This window comes from Homo sapiens, chromosome 1, assembly GCF_000001405.40.
Source record: "Homo sapiens chromosome 1, GRCh38.p14 Primary Assembly".
In the NCBI taxonomy this organism is placed as follows: Eukaryota; Metazoa; Chordata; class Mammalia; order Primates; family Hominidae; genus Homo; species Homo sapiens.
In genome coordinates, this window is record NC_000001.11 from 110,237,600 (window position 1) to 110,256,286 (window position 18,687).

General features: G+C 49.4%; 1 protein-coding gene across 4 annotated transcripts in view, besides 1 other annotated feature; it reads left to right on the forward strand.

The window, feature by feature from the left end:
- KCNC4 (potassium voltage-gated channel subfamily C member 4) overlaps positions 1-18,687 on the forward strand; it is a 73,767-nt gene that overhangs the window by 27,286 nt on the left and 27,794 nt on the right. For 2 of the 4 annotated variants that reach the window (XM_011541401.4, XM_047419680.1), the window contains one exon: positions 9,650-11,085. The exons of the other annotated variants lie outside the window; for them this stretch is intronic. In XM_011541401.4, the coding sequence (XP_011539703.1) occupies positions 9,650-9,660 (11 nt within the window). In that variant the 3' untranslated portion in view covers positions 9,661-11,085. Of the gene's footprint in view, positions 1-9,649; positions 11,086-18,687 lie in introns of those variants that run through there. 4 annotated transcript variants of the gene reach the window in all.
- Positions 6,313-6,362: an enhancer, noted in NCBI's record as "active region_1464". NCBI's record gives its function as "activates an Ori minimal core promoter by ATAC-STARR-seq in GM12878 lymphoblastoid cells {active_cell/tissue: GM12878}" and the evidence as "EXISTENCE:reporter gene assay evidence [ECO:0000049][PMID:35858748]".

An 18,687-nucleotide genomic window follows, 5' to 3' on the forward strand; every position in this document is an offset into this window, starting at 1 on the left:
AGGTGGAATTAGAAGACTGTTTCCAATCCTAAGACTTTCTGACTCACGTGGCACACACAGCTAGTTAGTGGTGGAGGCAGGTCCAGAACACAGGTATTCAGATGGGGTTCAGATGAACTCCTTTCCTAGCAAGATTTTCCTTAAATTCTTCTCTGCCTCTTCCCAGCCCATCAGGGATATAGGGCAGGGCAGAGAGACATCTGTGTCTCCTCTAGTCTGGAGCGAGGGGAGTGTCCTGGGCCTGGGTTGTGATGCCATCCAGTGCCCACCCTCGTGGGGCTCCTGTGGCATTATTGCAGTGAGCACTTTCTTTCCGTTCCTGGCTCCAAGCCCTGTGTGTGCATACACTGGTACCCACACAAGAGGTAGCACGTGAGCTGGCTCAGTCACTTGGGGCTGTGGTAACCGCATTCAAAATGCAGCATCATGCTAAAGAGCCGCTGGGGACTCTGGGGACAAGGCTGTCTCCGACCCAGCTTTAGGGGGTGAGGAGAGGGAGCCAAACGGCTACAGCTGCAAGTCAAAGAGGTCAGAGGCCTTCTGATGTTGGCACTGGAAGCCTCTCCTTTCTTTCCCCACAGGTTATGGGGGCTTCTCCACTCCCCGCTCTTACTTGCCTGCTTCTCCAGGGATCCCTAGAAGAGCAGTGGTTAGCAAGCATATGCTATAGCCATCAAATACGAGTCTACAGAAATGTAGGCTTCCCCTTGGGGCTGAGTTAGGGCCTCTGCTTCTGAAATGAGCAACCTCTGGTTGCTGGTGGGGGCTAGGGCTTGCTCCCTTTCTCTCCTCACATACTCTTTCCTGGGTGACCTCATCCCCTCCCATTGCCTTAAACATCTTCCAGGTACTGGTGTCATCCACTTGTGTAGTTCCAGTTCAGAAATCCCGTCAGCTCCATTCATTCATTTGTTCATTCATTCAGCAAACATATGTGGCATCTCTGTCCCAGGTACTGCTCTACAACCTGGGTGTACAATAGGGACCCAAACAGACACTCCCTTCCCCATGCACTCCCTGCTCACAGACACACCTGCGTGGCAGTGCCTGGGTGTCTTCACAGCTCCCTGATGCCGAGCTGTGATCCCACCCTTCTGCCTCCCTGGTCCCCCTCAGCGTGCTGCCACCATTCACCTTGAGGCTGAGATAGATGTTGTCAAAACCACCCTCTCATTCCTTAATTCACTCACTCATTTTTCGTGCATTAAATCTTTATTAAACACCTGTGAACTCTGTCCTCAGGGAAACAATGGTGAACAAGACCAACAGGATCCCTGCCCTCATGGGACTTACATTCTAATCAGGGAGAGAGGCCAGAAGACCAATAGATAAAAAATATCTCCCACCCGTATTCCAACCTATTACCAAGTTCTACATTTCTAGCTCTGCAGGAGCCTCCTCCCAGGTCTCCCTGGGTCCCATCTGCCCTTCTGCCACCAGTCTCCACCCAGTCACCAGAGAGAGAGCTTCTTAAAATGGAAACTGGATCAGATCATGTCACCCCTGCTTAGAACCCTGTCAATGGCTGGGTTCCCACTTCGTGTACAATCCAGACTCCTTAGGAGGGCCTGTGATGCCCTGCTGCTCCTCATGGCCTTCCTGCCTCCGCAGACCTATTCATGCCCCTGCTCTCAGCCCCTGAGACCAGCAGCTCACTTTCCTGTCAGTTTCCCACACATCCCCAGCTCTCTCACCTTCAGTGTTTTTCCACTTGCTTTTCCCTCACGGGGACCACTTCACCCCAGTCCAGCCCCACCCCACCTCCTTCTCTTGGCTGAGAAGGCCTGGCTGTAAATTTCACTTTCTTGGTGAGGCGTTTTCCCCTCACACATCCACGCCCCTCTGCCTCTGTCAGTTTCCATCACTGCAGCCAGTGCATTTTCTTCATGGTACTTACAGTCCTTTGTAACTATGAATTGTGTATTGCCTGCTTCCCTGTAAGTTGCTAGGGCCTATAGGGGCTCGGTAAATATTTTATGAACAAATGAATGAATGGGCTGGAGATAGGCCTGGCATGAGCAGCTGCTGAACTCCATCCTCTCTTATTCCTCGCAAGCTGTCTCCAGCTGGCTTTTGCACCTCATTTCTAGGGCATTCCTGGGAGTCCTTGGGGAATAACATGAACGCTCTTCTTTTTACATTATGCATTTCCTGCCTGAGAAACTGTCAGAATAATGAGGAAGCCTTGGAGAGAGAGTTCCCATAGCCCTTCCTCTCTCTTCCTTTTAGAACCTACCATTTTCTACCTGGTACTTTTTGGTACTTGTCAAATTCCCCTTCCCACAGTGGCGAGTTGCTCAGAGGTGCTGGTTCATCCCAGCTCCCACTCGAGGGCCTAGCTTAGTGGTCCATGCAGAGTAGGTGCTCAGCGAAATGTTGAAGTGAATGAAGGATATGGTGAGAAAGGAAGCAATGAGTAAGAAGGAAGAGTGAGAAAGAAGGAAAGAGGAAGAGGAGGGAGGGGCAAAGGGGTTGATGAAGAGTGAAGAAGCAGAGGGAGGGAAGTGAGGTCAGGGAGTGGGAAACGGGGAAAGAGAACCCTGGCCCGGTGTCCACCTCAAGCCAGCACCCTACCCCACTCCTTCCAGTCTTCCTGGACTCGGAGCCTCCCAGGCCTGCCCCAGCCTTAGGTGGGACAGCAGGGTTCCTCCAGCCTGCCACTGACACCAAGGGCACCCTGAACTCAGCTCAGACCCCAGGCTGCCCGGAGCAGGAGAGACTGCTCCTGAAGAGACTTCTGCAGGGACGAGAGCCCAGGATTCCTTAACCTGAGGCCCAGCTCCATCCCTGAGATCCCTAGAGACTCCCCTCAGCTCCCCTCCCCTCAGCTCCTCATATTGAGCCCCTGATCCAAGGACGATTAACTCCAAATCCAGCATCAGTGATCAAATGTTCATAGCAAACAAAGGAAAACAAACACCACCTTTCCTCCTTGCCTCAGCCCTGGGGCCCCAGAGGCTTGGCTCAGAGACAGGTGCCCTGCCTCCTCCCCACGCCCGGCACAGGCCTGCCAGCTGCCCCTCGAGAAGACCAGGGGCCAGCCTCAGAGGCCCGGAGGATCTGTTCCCAGAGTAGCTGTTGCCACAGTGACCCTCCCTGGGGTGGTGGCTCCTAAGCTGCCATGGGAGGCAGAGCTGTGCCACTACCACGACGACCACCACCACCACCAGGGCTGCCACCACAGCAAAGCTGCTCCTGGGGCCTCCCTCCTAGTTAGGCTGCCGAGAGACCAGTCTGTGCTATCCTCTCACCATGCCAGGCAGCCACAGTACCAGGGAACAGGAGTCACAATCAGCCCCCTTCCAACACCCCGGCAGCATCCCGCTGTCTGCCCCAGGACCCGCTCTTCCCCTGAGGGGATGACACTGCCCCCCTGGAAAATTGATTAGGGACCTCATTTCTGTCAGCACCCCACTAGAGATGGCAACCAGCTCCCAGGGCGCCTGGGGGCGGGATGTTGAGGGCAGCAGGGAGGTAAGAAGGCTCCAGTGATACCAGGCTCCCTCTGGGCCTCGGTGCTAGGTGGTGACAAGCTGGGTTTCCCTGGACAGGACTGGAAAGTTGCTCTCTAATACTCTCTATCTTTCTGCTTGGGTTCTTTCCCACCCCTGCCAGAGGCTCTTGCTAACTACTGTCCCCTTACATACTGGCACCTAAACATAAACACACATTTCCAGAGTCGTCCTGCTCTCTTCATTTTCTGACCTATGCACAAGAAAGTATTTTGTGTCAGTCATCAGCACTCTAGTATGAATTTAGGGTCCATGTATATTTTATTTCCCAGGAGATAGGACTGTTGACCTTCTCTCAACTTGTGGAGTGACAGCCTTGTTCTCTGTGATAGGAAGTCCTAGCACCAGAGAGCTCCAAGCAGGATAGATAATTTTTTCGATTAGGAGAGGAAGAAATCCAAAACTTCCTGTGTGGGTCAAATTAGGGGCCAGAGCTCTACAAGGAATTCTGGCCTGACTCCAATTAACAAAGAAGGACGTGGAGCGCAAAAGAGAAATCCAAAGTGATATGCAATGGAGGCTGCCTCTGTCTGGAAGATCTTCCTGCTCCTTGTGCTCCCCTCTTACATTCTACTATTGTGTCCTCAGCCTGGCAAACTCTTACTCATCCCTCAAGGCCCACTCAACTGTCACCTCTGAGAATCCTTCCTGGGCTCTCCCAGGTAGAATTCCTCTGTCCTTTATGCTCTCACAGAACCTTGAATATTCCTCCATTATAGCACTTACTGCAGTGATAACTTGTTGCTTGTTTACTCATTTATGGATGCTTTCCTTATTAATGTTTTTACCTCCAGCCCCTGCTCAGTGGTCAGGAGCTCAAAGGTGAACAAAGGAATGAGTGAATGAGTAAGGAGTGAATGAATTAGCTGCCCTCTGCTGACTTCTGCCCTTCACCCCTGTCATTCTAGTCCATGGTTGGGTTGTAAGATTTGTCCAGAATAATTATCCGGGATGCTGGACCTCTCACTCTGCCATCCCACCACCATGTGCCAGCCAAGTCTCCTCTCACCCACGCCACCCTCACCATCAGTACTCCCTTCCAAAGTTCCCCATTTCCCCTCAACTCTCCAGGCTTCAGCCATCTGGGCCTTTCTTTCCTGATGTTAGTAGCTTCAATTTACATCACAGTTAACTTGGAACAGCGGGGGGGGCTATATCCTGGGTCCTTTCTCCCTCCGTCTGCTTCCTTCTCAGTCTTCATTAGTGGTGTTCTGTGAGCCTCCCACCCACCCCAACTCTCCGAGTGCTAGTTAGGTGCTCAGGTTTGTGCTCTTGGATGAAACTCCTGCTACATAAGTGGACATAGAAAAAGAGGCTGGCAAGGGTTGTTTCCAGAGGGGTCTGAGCCAATCCCACGCTGTTGCTGGGCTTGAGGTTCCACATCTGTGAATGGGAATTAAGCTTCCCCTGCCTTCATCCAAGGTGGGATGATAATTAAATGAGAGTGGATGGATGGGTCCTTTGGAACTCCTGAAGCACCACTGGAGGCAAGGGATTATCATTCTTCTGGCTTTCTCTCTGTCGAGGACTTGGGTGTTCCTCCAGAGTCAGAGGGCAGGTGCCTCTGGAAGGTATAATAGCTAACGTGGATTGAGTGTTTACGACCAGCCCAAGCCCCCTACATGGCTTAATGGATCAGAGCAGCCCCAGGAGGTAAGGGCTCTTTTTATCACTCACATTTTACAGGTGAGGAAACTGGAGAGTAATTTGATGGAGATCTCACAGATAGATTTCACAGGCGATTTTGACCATGCTTCTACACTGGCTCTGTGGCCAGCCCCTTGGCACCAGCACCACCACTGCCATCGATTTCTGGTCCACGGCCAGATTGCTAATTCTGGCTCCACTGGCTTTGCCACTTGTGAGCTGCGTGACCTTGGGCAAATGACTTAACCTTTCTAAGCATGGTCTGTGAAATGGAGAGAAGGAAACATCTCCAGATTTTGCCCAGAGGAGTAAATGGAGGTGGGATATGTGAAGTGGCTCTAGACCCAGGCAGTAAACAGTGCTCAGTGTGTGTCCTTCCCTATTGACACTGACAGACCCTGCCTGGCAGGCCTGAGCACAACAGAAGCACTAGAAGTCCTTTTCCAGAAATTCCTTGCTAGGGCCTCTCACTGTGGACTGAGAGGATGGAGGCAGGTCCAACTCGAGGCAGGGCCTTGGGACACCAGTGCTCATGAGACAACTCACTGTCATGACCATTTCCGCCTTAGCGACCCAGAAGTGGTGACACCTGTGTGCTTGCTTCCCGAAGCAGTGAGAAGCCAGACGGAGACCCACACAGCTGCTGGCTCTAAAGGCTGCTCCCTGCACGTGGGCACCTCAGCCCCACCTTCCATTCCTCTCTCTAACCTGCTTCCCGGACCTGCTGGGGCCAGGAGCTGCCCCAAGTCCTTTCCACACACACCTGTGAGCTCCTGGGAATGAGATTAAAGGAGGCAGGGAGGTGAGAGGAAGCACAGGGGAAGACTGAAAGCAGATCTCAGAAGCTGAGAAGAGGAAGATGAAGAGGAGGAAGAGGGAGAAGGGAGAGTGGCAGAGAGAGGAGCAGTAGCCCGCGGAGCAGGGAGAGAAAAAGCAGGTAGGGAAGGGGGAGGGGCAGAGGAGGGGAAGGAGGAGGGCCTGCACCCGGCTGTGGGCAGAGGCTGCGGGGCCTAAAATGAACCGAACAGGCTGGAAATAGAACAGCTGGGCAAACCCCAAACGCTTTGTTTGGGTGTCTGCTGAGCAAGCACGTGAATGAGAAGAAAGGGGCAACAATGCAAGGCAGAAGTGGCTCATTTCACTCTGGAGGCAGGTCAGAACAAGAGGCATGTGTTCCAGTCCAGCACAGATTAGTCGGGGTTCTTTTTCCGGGATGTTTTCTTTACGTAATCATTATTTTTCACAGGCTGGCTTGGTGGCGGGATTAGCCTGACGCCACCCCATCCTTGGCAGGTGGAAGGTTTGGGTTACTTTGAGACCAAGACCACTCTGGGTTCTTATTCTAACTGTGGATGCCACCGGCTTCGGGAGAAGAGATCTTAATCCACTTTCTAAATGGAGGTTTAGGAATCTAAGCTGTGTAATGGAATACTATTTCCCTTATTAGAACAAACCCTAACTCGGGTGCGGTGGCACACGTCTGTAGTCCCAGCTACTCAGCAGGCTGAGATGGGAGGATGGCTTGAGCCCAGGAGTTTGAGGTTGCAGTGCACTATGATGCACCTCTAAATTAGTCACGGCACTGCAGCCTGGGCAACATAGCGAGACTCTGTCTAAAAATAATAATAATAAATAACAAAACCCAGTTCCAGGATGGATCAGGACTAGCCTGAGGGGCCCTGCCTGTCTCAGCTCAAAGAACTGCACCATGCCTCACACACACCAGCACACTTCGCCCTGGGAGGTGCCCAGGCCACCTGAGGTTCTGCCATGGGCTGGTTCCTTCCCTGATCACCAGCAGCGCCACCTCTGTGTTTTTCCCCTCCTCTCCCCACAACCCCCAACACACAATATGAAGAACCTTCAGTCCAGAAATTAGACATGGGACCAGCAGAGGCTATGAAGGTAACTGGAGCCAAGTGGCCCCCAGAGCTGCCATTTAGCCCAATCCAAGGTGTCTGCACTGTGGGGCATTTGCTTCATCACTGACTTCTCTAGAATTCAGGTCAGCTCTACTTGGGCCTGAATGTGGACAGGAATTAGGGGGCCCGAACTCCAGCCTCGCTTCCACCATGGGCCGTGCAGTCTTTGGCAACTTGCTTAACTTGGCTGAGCTTCAGTTCCCCGTTTGCAAAATTGGGGATAATACTGCCCACCTCAGCGGGTTCTCATAAAGCTCCAATGAGATCCTGTGTGCCTCCTACTTAGCTCAATAACTTGACATTCTATAAGGTTTAATTTCCTTCCTTCCTCTCTCCCTTCTTTTCTGAATGAGCTCTAAGAACCTTCCCCAATTCACTAGAGAACCTTTGAGGAAAGCTAAATTGAGGAGAAAAGGAACACAGCCCAGCCCACAGCCTCCCCATGAGGGGCTGGGGCTGGAGGGGTAGGTCTGGCGGAGGAGGGAAGGGGAGACATGAGTGATCAGAAGGTCTCAACCTAAGTGCTGGCGGCTTCTGTGACAGAGAGGCAACTGAACCTGTATATGGTATTTGGATCACAGCTGGAAATCCGGCTGGATTTTGGCTTTAATAAAATATTTGACATTTTGTGGAGCTCAGTTTTAAACATGGGGCCGAGAGCTGGCAGACCTAGGTCCATTCCTCAAGTTCTAACTCAGTTCACCCTGCTGCTCTGGGCTTCAGTATTCTCTGCTCTCCCTGTCGTCAGATGGCATTCACATGAAGACCCAGCTGGTGATCAATTCGTGGCAAAAAGTGTCAGAAGCTAGAAGACTTATCTCCGGTCAGTGTTTTCAACATGGTAGTTATCCTGCACGTGGTGATTGTACAACCCTAAGTGGAAATAGGACCCTAAAGTCCACTCTCTTCCAAGACTAGCCACTTAGAAACATACCAGCAACCATAAGGAAGCTGATTTAAGACCCCTTGGCCCCGCTCCCATAACACACGCCCAACAGAGTTGGCTTGACTATGGAACCATCCCAAAATCTCTCCTCCACACTGCCTCTTCTCTTCCTCTTCTCTTCTCTTGGCCTGAAGAAGCTTGCTCAGTGCACGTATCTTGTCTTCAGGTAGAACTAGAAGTTGAACAAGTCAGTTTCCTCTTTCTGACATTGAGAGGGTGGGTATCAAGGAGGATGTTTCAGAGAACGAAGAGGTTCTTGGCTCTTTGTACTATCTGTGCCTGTTCCAGCTCTAGCTGCCCTTGTTTGACCTGCTTCTTGCAGGAGGTAGTGGCCAGCATCGTAGGGAATGCCCATGAAGTACTCTGGGCTTCTCCGATGTAAAGGGTGAGAAAAATCAAAGCCAGCTCTTATCTCCATCCAGATGGTGGGGATAAAAACAGTCCAAGCCCGTTTCTTGCCTCACTTGTCCAGTGGCTAAGCTAATGCCAAACTGGGATTTCTCTGACCTCATGTTAACCCGACCTCAAGGCTGCCAGAGTATCAGCTACTAAATCACCAATCTATAAAAGTCATCTTGCAGCCTTTTCCAGATCCCAGAAGGAGTCTTTACTCCATCCTGACCTCAGAAGCCACCTTGCATCCTCTGCCAATGCTTTCTTCTTCCTGTATTTAGGAATCACATCTATCACTTGGGGTCCAGAAAACATTTTTAGCTACCAACCATGAGTCAGACTTCATCCCCATTTACAACCGTGTGACTAGAGGGTAGGGAGTTGGAGAAGATTCCTCCAGCCACAGAACAGCTCCTTGAACAAGCTTTTGCTAAAAGACAAGTCTCCTCATGCCCTTCCTTTTCCGAAAAGTCTTCTCTGACTCCCTGCTGGATAAAGGTTAGAAGCTTGAGCGTGGCTTCCCCAGAACCTTCACCGTCTGGTCCCAGCCTCTCTTTTGGGCCTCAGTCAGTCCCTGCCCTCCCTCCCACACACTCGCACTCCAATCCCATGCACATAGAAGTGTTTGAATGTATGTACTTTCCTGCTTTGGGTTACACGCTTCCCTTTGCTTGGAGTGTCCCCTGGCTTTCCTCCACCTGTGAATCTGCTCATCCTTTGTGAAGTCTTTTCTTTCTTTTTCTTTTCTTTTTTTTTTTTTGGTACACATTTATTGGGTACAAGTGCAATTTTGCCACATGCCTAGTTGCACAGTAGTTATATCAGGGCTTTTAGAGTATCGGTCACTCAAATAACATACATTGTACCCATTAAGTAATTTCTCATTGTCCACCCCTCTCCCACCCTCTCTCCCTCTGAGTCTCCATTGTCCGTCATTCCACTCTCTACATCCATGTGTACACATTTTTAAGCTCCTACTTATGAGTGAGAACATACTTGTCTTTCTGTGTCTAACGTATTTCACCTCTTGTTCCGGCTGTGTTGCTGTAAACGACATAATTTCATTCTTTTTATGGCTGAATAGTATTCCACGTGTATGTGTATCACATTTTCTTTATCTACTAATCATCTATTGGTGGGCAGGGCATTTAGGTTGATTCCATGTCTTTGCTATTGTGAATAATACTGCAGTAAACATACGAGTGCAGGTACTTTTTTTTTTTTTTTAGGCAAGATCTAGCTCTGTCACCGAGACTGGAGTGCAATGATACCATCACAGCTCACTGCAGCCTTGACCTCTCAGGCCCAAGTGATCCTCCTCTGAGTAGCTGGGACCACATGCCATCATGCCTGGCTAAGTTTTAATTTTTTGTAGAGATGGGGTCTTGCCATGTTACCCAGGCTGGTCTGGAACTTCTGGGCTTGGGCAGTCCTCCCGCCTCAGCCTCCCAAAGTGTAGGGATTATAGGTGGGAGCCACCAGGCCTGGCTTTCTTCTAGATATATTGATTTCTTCTGTGAAGTCTTTTCTTTTTTCTTTTTTTTTTTTTTTTTTTGAGATAGTCTTGCTCTGTCACCCAGGCTGGAGTGCAGTGGTGCAATCTCAGCTCACTGCAACCTCTGCCTTCTGGGTTCAAGTGATTCTTCTGCCTCAGCCTCTCAAGTAGCTGGGACTACAGGTGCGTGCCACCACGCCCGGCTAATTTTTGTATTTTTAGTAAAGACGAGTTTCACCATATTGGTCAGGCTGGTCTCAAACTCTGACCTTGTGATCCACCCACCTCAGCCTCCCAAAGTGCTGGGATTACAGGCATGAGCCACCGCACCTGGCCTTGTGAAGTCTTTTCTAATCCACCCTGTCCCACTGGCAGAATGTTTCGCCCCTTAGCCAGTGATATGCCTTTACAAGAGCATATGTTGCACTAGATGTTTACTCGGCTGCTTTCCACAGGCCCTTTCAAAGGCCATAGATTAGACCCACCTTTCCTGTAGCCCTGGCCAATTAGATCACAGAGACCTATGTAGATATGGTAGGAAAAATGATCCAGAATGTAGCTGTGACCTGGAGGATGCCTGCATGTTCCTTCAATATCATACTAAGGCTTTGTCTGTCATGAAGATTATTAATTCTCTAGAAGTGTGCTATCAACAGATGGCTATTGAACACTTGAAATGTGGCTAGTGCCTCATGTCAAAATGACAATATTTTGAATGTGTTAAATAAATTATTAAAATGAATTTCTCCTGTTTGTTTTTACTTTTTAATGTGGCTACTAGAAAAATTTAAATTATACCCCTGGTTCACATTATATATCCACTGGAAAGTGCTGCAGTAGCAGACAATAATTGTTTGACTTTGTCATTTGCTATTATTAATTAAGGGCTCAAAGTGTGAAGTTACATGTTATAGGGTTTTGTTTTTGTTTTTGTTTTTGTTTTTTTTTGGCCTGTTAGAGATTCAAGTGATTTGTATCCAGTAGGAAAAATAACCCCAGTTTTATTTTTCTGTAGGACATTAACTAGATTTGTATTTTTTAAAAAATTATTTTGGCGTGCCTTTTAAATCCCAGTTCCTCAAATGCTCTTTGAATCAACTTTATTATCGTATTGTTTCCCTTGTCAGTTAATGAGTTCAATAAAATCTTTGATACATATTCATACTTTAACTGTATGAGACTTGTGTTTCTAACTTTTTGGAAATTATACTTTGACATATCTCTGTCTCCTGTTCGGCTTGATGGCAGAGACTCAATTATTAACATACCTAGTATTAAGTAGGGACTCAGTAAATGTTGAATGAATAAGAAGCACTTGTTTAGAATTGAGGTCGAAAGTTTAAACTGCCAGCCAAACTTTGTGGTGGGATCCCTATCAGCCACATGTCTGGAGAGTGGCAGATGCAGGAAAGATGAGACGTTTTCAGGATCCTGAACTATTTGGGTGGTTTCCCAGTTTGGGGGGCCTGTGATCCCAAGGGAATGCTGGCCAAAGCAAGTCCCTTCTGTCAGCTCAAGGGTGAGGTCCTCTCAGGCTCCCCGCCCTTCCCACCCACCTGGGGTGCTGCAGGAAGTATGGAGCCCAGATAGGACTCTTGTCCCTTCCTGCCCCATGGCCAACTACATCACTATGAAGATTCTGTAAGACAACCCTAACTGCTTCTCACCATCTGGACACAGAGGCACTTTTGTTGTTAGAGGTCAGTAGAAGAGCAGGCCCCTTTTTTTCTGGGGGCTCTGGAAAAAATTCTTTCGGTCCTGCATCCTGGCAGACAATTGCAAGAATATGTCTCTTCCCCTTTACCCTCCTGCCCATCTCCACAATAAGGGATGGCAGGCTGGTAACTGAGGGTGAAAGTTGCTTGCAAATTCCTTGAGGAGAGAAGCTGTTGATTTGTATGCCTGGCACCTGGTTAGCACGTTGCCTGGCATACAGCAGACACTCAGTGAATGCTAATCCACCTCCCCTCCCTCGGCCCGACTTCAGCACCAGAGCCAGCTTCCTTCCAATGAGTCTGATATATAGACTCCTTGGCCTGGACAGAACACTGATTAATCAATCCCCCCTCTGGGAGTCTTGAGCAGGATCAGCTGATAATTAGGCATCAAGCTCAGAGTTGGTGACCTTTTAGAAGTGTCACTGCTCTTGTCTGCTCTCCTTAAAAGAAAAGAGAAATTGGTAGAGGCTTTGCTTCTGGAGAATAAAAGCATTGCTTTAAAAAATTGTTGCCAAATAGACATAACATAAATTTATTATTTTAACCATTTTTTTCAGTGACATTAAGTACATTCACATATTGTGCAACCTATATAGCCATCCATCTCCAGAACTCTTTCTGTCTTCCCAAACTGAGACTCTGCACCCATTAAACAATGACTCCTCATTCTCTTCTCTCCCAGTCCCTAGCAACCAGCATTCTACTGTCTTTGTGAATTTGACTAAGTACCCCATATAAGTGGAATCATACGTTTTCAAGTCCCACCTTGAAGCTGTTATCAGCGAACACTTTCCTTAATTAAAAATTAACACCTTAGCAAGAATTAGTCTCTGACAACAGGAATGGGTCATCACTCCTTTTCTCATGCCAAATGAAACACTGTCTTCCATATGGTTCCCAGACACAGCTCCCCTTTCCCGGGCTCCCCCACCTCCCTCCTCCCACATGACCAGGCCTCGCACACTCATCTGGCTAATGCCTACTTAGCTCAACGCTCTTCTCCAGCCAGAAGTCCAGACAGACCCCTGGAAGGGGTCTCTCCTCCCTCCTCCATGTCCTCCAGGCTGCCATCTGGTAGGCCACCCTGTATCTTGCCCTACTGCCTTCTACACTCACTCCCTCTGGCCACAAGCTCCCTGAGGGCACAGTTCCCACCAGTCTCTTTGTATGGCTTGCACCTACCAAACCAGGCCTTTGAGTTGCTTAGAATAATTCATATGTCACATTTGGCACCACTGCACAAGCCTGGGCCATTTTGTGATTAGAAACTCCCAGGAAAAAAGATGGAGTTATCCTCTTGGAGAAATATGCCTGCATGGTTGGTGTAAGGAAGGGCCAGGGGCACTGTCAGTGTGGATAGAGATTCCTGCCCTGAGGAAAAGCAAATTGCCAAGGGGATGAATTAGTTTTGAGACCTTCAGCACAGTTATTCCTTCCTTTATTCACTCAGTCATCCTACAAACATGCAGTGGCACTTGCTCTGAGTGAGGCACCCAGCAAGGCCCCCAAGGGAAAAGAGGAAAGGAAGACCCCCTACACAGCCAGTCTGCTAGGAGAGGCCCTGGGCTTCTCTAGGAGGAGGAGGAGAGGAGCGGCTGGGGTAGGGGAGGCTAGGCCAAGCCCATCAGGTGGAGAAGCAGGTGGCTGTTCCTGAAGCCTCAAGCCCATGGACTGCCTTAAAGCCCTGGCCTCACCTCCTGGAGGCTTATCTATACTCCAGCTTTTGAGGTCAGTTCTGGGGGACGGGACTAGGGCCATGTAAGCAGGCAGAGAGGGGAGACAGGTCCTAGGCAAACAGGAACAGTCAGGTATCCCTTGTGGCAGTTGCTTCTACCCAGAGGGTGGCAGGGGAGTGCCTGCAGGGTAGAGTGGTCTACTGGCAGGAGTCCCTATAGGACCTCCATGTGAGGGGCCCCAACATCACTGCATGCTAGTCCGGCTTGGCTTAAAGAGTCCACTTAGAGGACTTCAAGCTCCACAGGCCACGAACGTTGTTATGGTTTGGCTGTGTCCCTACTCAAATCTCATCTTGAATTGTAGCACCCATAATTCCCATGTGTTGTGGGAAGACCTGGTGGGAAGTAATTGAATCATGGGGGCAGGTCTTTCCCATGCTGTTCTCACAATAGTGAATACATCTCATGAGAAATGATGGTTTTATAAAGGGGAGTTCCCCTGCACACTCTCTCTTGCCTGCCGCCATGTAAGACATGTCTTTGCTCCTCCTTCACCTTTTGCCATGATTGTGAGGCACCCCCAGCCATGTGGAACTGTGAGTCCATTAAACCTCTTTCTTTTGTAAATAACTCAGTCTCAGATGTGTCTTCATTAGCAGCTTGGGAACAGACTAATACAAACATGAAGTCTATAGTAGAAAGTGACAGAATTTGAATCTGCTCAGAGGGTAAGCATTTGGGATTATTTACCCAAGAGAGAAGGAGGAACTTAAGTGACTTGGTTATCATGATTATTTTTAAGGTGTTAAGCTGACAACATTAACTCGAATGGTCCTCACAGCAACCCTATGAGAGGAGCAGGGCAGAAACAGCGATCCCATTATGCAGGCAAAGACAACAAGGCACAAAAGGTTAAGGCCCTTGTTGGCCACTCACTTCATCAGTAGAGGAGTTGGGGTTTGACCCCGGTGTTTCTGTCCTTGGTCCAGGGTCCTTGCTCAACCAGCCTGCCTCTCCTTACTTCATGGGTCTAATGGGGGCCCCACATTAGGGGGACTTTGAGAGCAAGCCCATGATGGTGAGCGCTCCAGCTGCTCCAGGCAGCCCTTCTGATGAGGGGCTAAAGGAGGGAGCAAGGGGTGGGGCAGGCTCTGAGTCACTCCAGGCCTGCACAGCCCACCAATCTCTCACCTCCACTCCTAATCAAGGTGCCCAGAACCCAGTAAGCCTGGAGCTTGAGTTCATTTATCTTATCAGGCATTGGCACGGGCAGCTTGGGGAGCTCAGAGGCCTCCTAGCTAGGGAAGGATGTCCAGGTTCTGTGACTGTCAGTGTGCCCCTAAGAAAATAAATCCGTTAAAATGATTTCTTTTTCTTTCCAACCAAGAAATGAGGTTCATAACCCATCCTTGGCTACCAGAGAACAGTCCTCTCTGAATTCCTTCCCTACCTTGGTTACAGCTGTTAAATTGGTCATTTGGGTTTCAAAGGATGAAAGTCTGCCCTGCAAAACCTGTGGTTGGGCCTGGTTAACTCACTGGCTCAGGCCTGAGAGAAGGGTGGAGAGAGGCTTAGCTTCCCACTGGCTGTCTTGAGCACAGATGGAACTTGCCTGGATAGAGCACTCAGAAATGCTCTCCCTTGATCACCGGAGAGAGGTTGGATGGCTCAGCTGAAACCCTGCCCCTCTGCTCCAGAAACTTCCTGATGCCCTGCCTCCCGAGAATGGCTCTGGTACAATATCACATTCATTGAGCATCTACTCTGTGCCAAATATTTTACATATCTCATTCAATTCTAACACAATCCTTCAAAAGAGATATTATCTCCACTCTAAAAATGAGAAATCTGAGCATCAGGGAAGTTAGGTTAACTTGTCTGGTCAGGAAGCTAGTGAGTTGCAGAACCATGGCTTGGATCTATTGTAATCTCACCACAGTCCCTTCAGGTATGTGTTGTTATCAACTTTTCATAGGATAGGAGAAGAAATTGGGACTCAGATAGGCTAATTATAGGCCAATTATGCTTGCCCAAGGCAAGCAACTCCCCAGCGTATGTTTGTGATCTTATCTCTCTGCTCTCCCAGGCAGGCTGATTCCCTCACCCCATATTTAGTGGGGCCTCCATGCTTTTGCTAGGTCTCCTCCACTCAACACTCTTCCCCAGCCCCATCTTCTCAGCCAACTCTCTGAAGCTGGTATATCTTCCCAGTCCAATGCACAATGGCTCCCTCCACAAAGCCTTCCCTAGCACTTGGGGCCATGCTGACCCCATGCTGATCATCCCTTCCTCCCCTTTCCAATCTCCAACCACATTTACTGACCATGAGGGCACTTCATTGTTGTCTGTTTATGCATCTTCTTGTTTTGCACATGTGTGCCTTGTTTCTGCCCACTCTGGTCTTCCCTAAAGAATAACAACCAATCATGAGAGATGTCTCATTGCTTACAGCCCTGAGATGTCAACTCTAGATTCTACAAGTGTCTTCACAGTGGAGGCCACATTCATGCATCTGCCACAGCATCTAGCATAGTGTCAACCACAAACAGAGTGTTGAATAAATTCCACACATCTGTATGTTATTGTTCAAAGCATTTGAATGTCCCCTGTCTTGATGCATCCTCCTGAGAACAGTGTGAGGTGGTGTCCAGGCTCTGAGGGGCTAGTGCTGTAGCTAAGGTCAGTGGGAGACCCGGACCAGGACCCAGATTTTCTGATCCTGAGTCTAGGGCTCTTTCCTCTGCTCAGGCCACAGATAATCAACTGTTTCTTGGAACATGTTCCAATCAGCTTATTTTCTCCACTGTTCCTTCTTCCACAGAGCCATGAGAAGGGAGCCTTCCTTGTTGACGGTGTTATCAGACTGGCTCTGAGGGCAGCAGAAGTCAGAGGGCAGGGGTGGTGAAAGCATCTCAAGTGAAGCTCTGAATGAGTCTAGCCACCTGGCTAGGCTGAAGTCCTGGTCAAGAGAGGCCTTTCCCATTTCTCCTCAGGGGTTCTTGGGTCTATAGGGCCCCCGCCCTACTTCACGGCCATGCAGAGAGCCACCAATAGAGGCAGGTGATCAGTTGCAGACCAAGCTCCAGGTACCCTCAGGATCCTTCCTCTAGCAGGAAGGGGAAGGAAAACCCTCAGAGGCCTGCTACTGCTTCTTCATGAGAAGGAAGAAATAGGCAGAAGTCGGGGGGGGGGCGGCGTTTCTGTTGTTGTTTTGCCTGCAGGGTTCCAGGAGGGAACCCCAAGCAGCTCTGCTGTGGATGTCCCCCATCAGACATATCTGGAGATGCTTTGTCAGAAAGGAGGATTCGGTTGCATGAAACCATTCCCATTCTCAGCTAGACAGCCTGCGGGATTTGGGTGCATCCAGGAGACCAGCCCCTTCTCTCTGCTCTAAGCCAACCAGCCAGCCACAGGATCTGACCCCTGAGGCTTGGGAGGATGGTCAGGGTCACTGTGGCATCTTCATGTGATTCAGTGCATCATTTGCACCTCATGTTCCTTCATTGCACCCACTGCATATCCAAGAACATCCCCAGAGAGTCATGGTCATTTTCCATTTCTCCATCTTGTGGCTTATCTGCCATGTGGAGGAGGCCAGGTTGGAGTTAAAGACTGGGGCTGAGTGTGTGACACCTGCTTTTTGAGAGCAGCCCTGGCATAGGCTGCTTGCTCTAAACTCTGTACAGCTTCCTGCCCTGGGAAATGCAGAATTAATTGAATGACATGTGCAGTGATTACGGGAACAAGGAGATGAGTTGGGGGGAGGACTGTCTGTAGATCCTGCCAAGGAGACTAGGAATATATTCAAACCATCACCTTATACTGAGCTCCCTCAGCAGGTGTCAGTGTAGCAGTCACCTGGTCTATCCCAAATACAGCACCTTACAGCCTGAGCACATACTTTGCAGAGCCAGCCAGAGCCTCTGGGAGGCCCACAAGAAGGCTGCAGCAGTGCTGTAGAACAGCCCACAGCAGTTGTAGCAATGCCATTCCAGTCCATTCCATTCCATTCAATTCCGTATTAGCTCACCACCTACTATGTTCTGGAAAGGGTGCCAACATTATAAGTAAAATAATCTTCAAGTTGATGAAACTCACTGCATAGCATAGGAGACATCCAAGTATATACAGATAGCATTTCTGGACTTGCAGAGATGATTCTCATTTAAGACATTTGGTAAACTCTGGTGAGAGCAGGGAACATACACTCTCTTTTATTCACCCCTGTAATCCCAGTGCCTGGCACAGAGCCTGGAGCAGAGTAGGTGCTTAATAGATGGTTGGCAAATGAGCAAATGCCTAGATCGTCGGAGTTGGACAAACAAGTTCCCTAGAGCTCTGCAGGGAGTTAAGATTCAATGTGCTCTCTGTTGGCCGTCCCCCTGGAACCCCCTGGTTTCCTCTCAGGAGGTCCTCTTCACTTCACCGTCTTCTCTCCAGCTCACCCCTTCACACTTAGGCTCTGCAGTTTTGCATTCAACACCCTACTCCATGTCCCCAGGCACAAGTTGCCAAAGATAACTAATATTAGCAGGTTAGAGTCAGCACAGATATACTTTAAGATGCTTAGCGGGGCTGGAGAGTCCTAGACAGAGCCGGGTGTATTTTTAGCTCTTTGGGTATCTGGAAAGGTATTGAGATGCAGTCATTGCTACAGACACCCAGGCAAATCAGTATTCTGCTACTGGCCTCCCCATACCAGGCAGTTTCCATTCAGTGTCTCAAAAGCAAGGGTTGCCATGGAGACTGAGTGCCAGGACAACCGAACTTCCTCTCAGGAAACAACAGCACAGGTGGAGCTCTGGGCCAATGGGGATCAAGAAGCTTCTCAGATGGCCACAGCTTTCTCTCCTGAAGGCAAACGATGGCAGAGGTCCCTGGCACCCTCAGAAGGGGTCAGCCAGAAGATGGAGGACACTGTCTCTGGAACTTCATTCAGGGAGGGGTTGATTCTATTTCTCACTCACACTTGCTGTGGACTGCTTTAGTTCTCTTCCTGGCCCTTCCTTCCACAAAGGGATTTGGCCACCCAAGAAGCAGTCTAGAAGCTGCTCAGGGAGGAAGGTGGCAGGGCCATTTTGCAGTAGAGGCTAGTTCTGGCAAACACCTAGAACACAAGCTCTGCAGGAGGCTGGGGGAGGCCATGTCAGTCCTGCAGCCATTAGAATTACAGTAGCCCACTCTTCTGGGTGGCACTGTACAGGACCATCTTATCCTATTCTTGCTATCATCTGGGGAAGCAGCCAAGACAGGTGGCATGATCTCCACTTTCCTCCTGCATTCGACAAACATTTCCTGTGTACCTGACATGTTAGACAAGCGAGATGAAAACCCAAGGCTCCAAGAGGCTATGAAACCCACCTACAGTTACAAAGCTA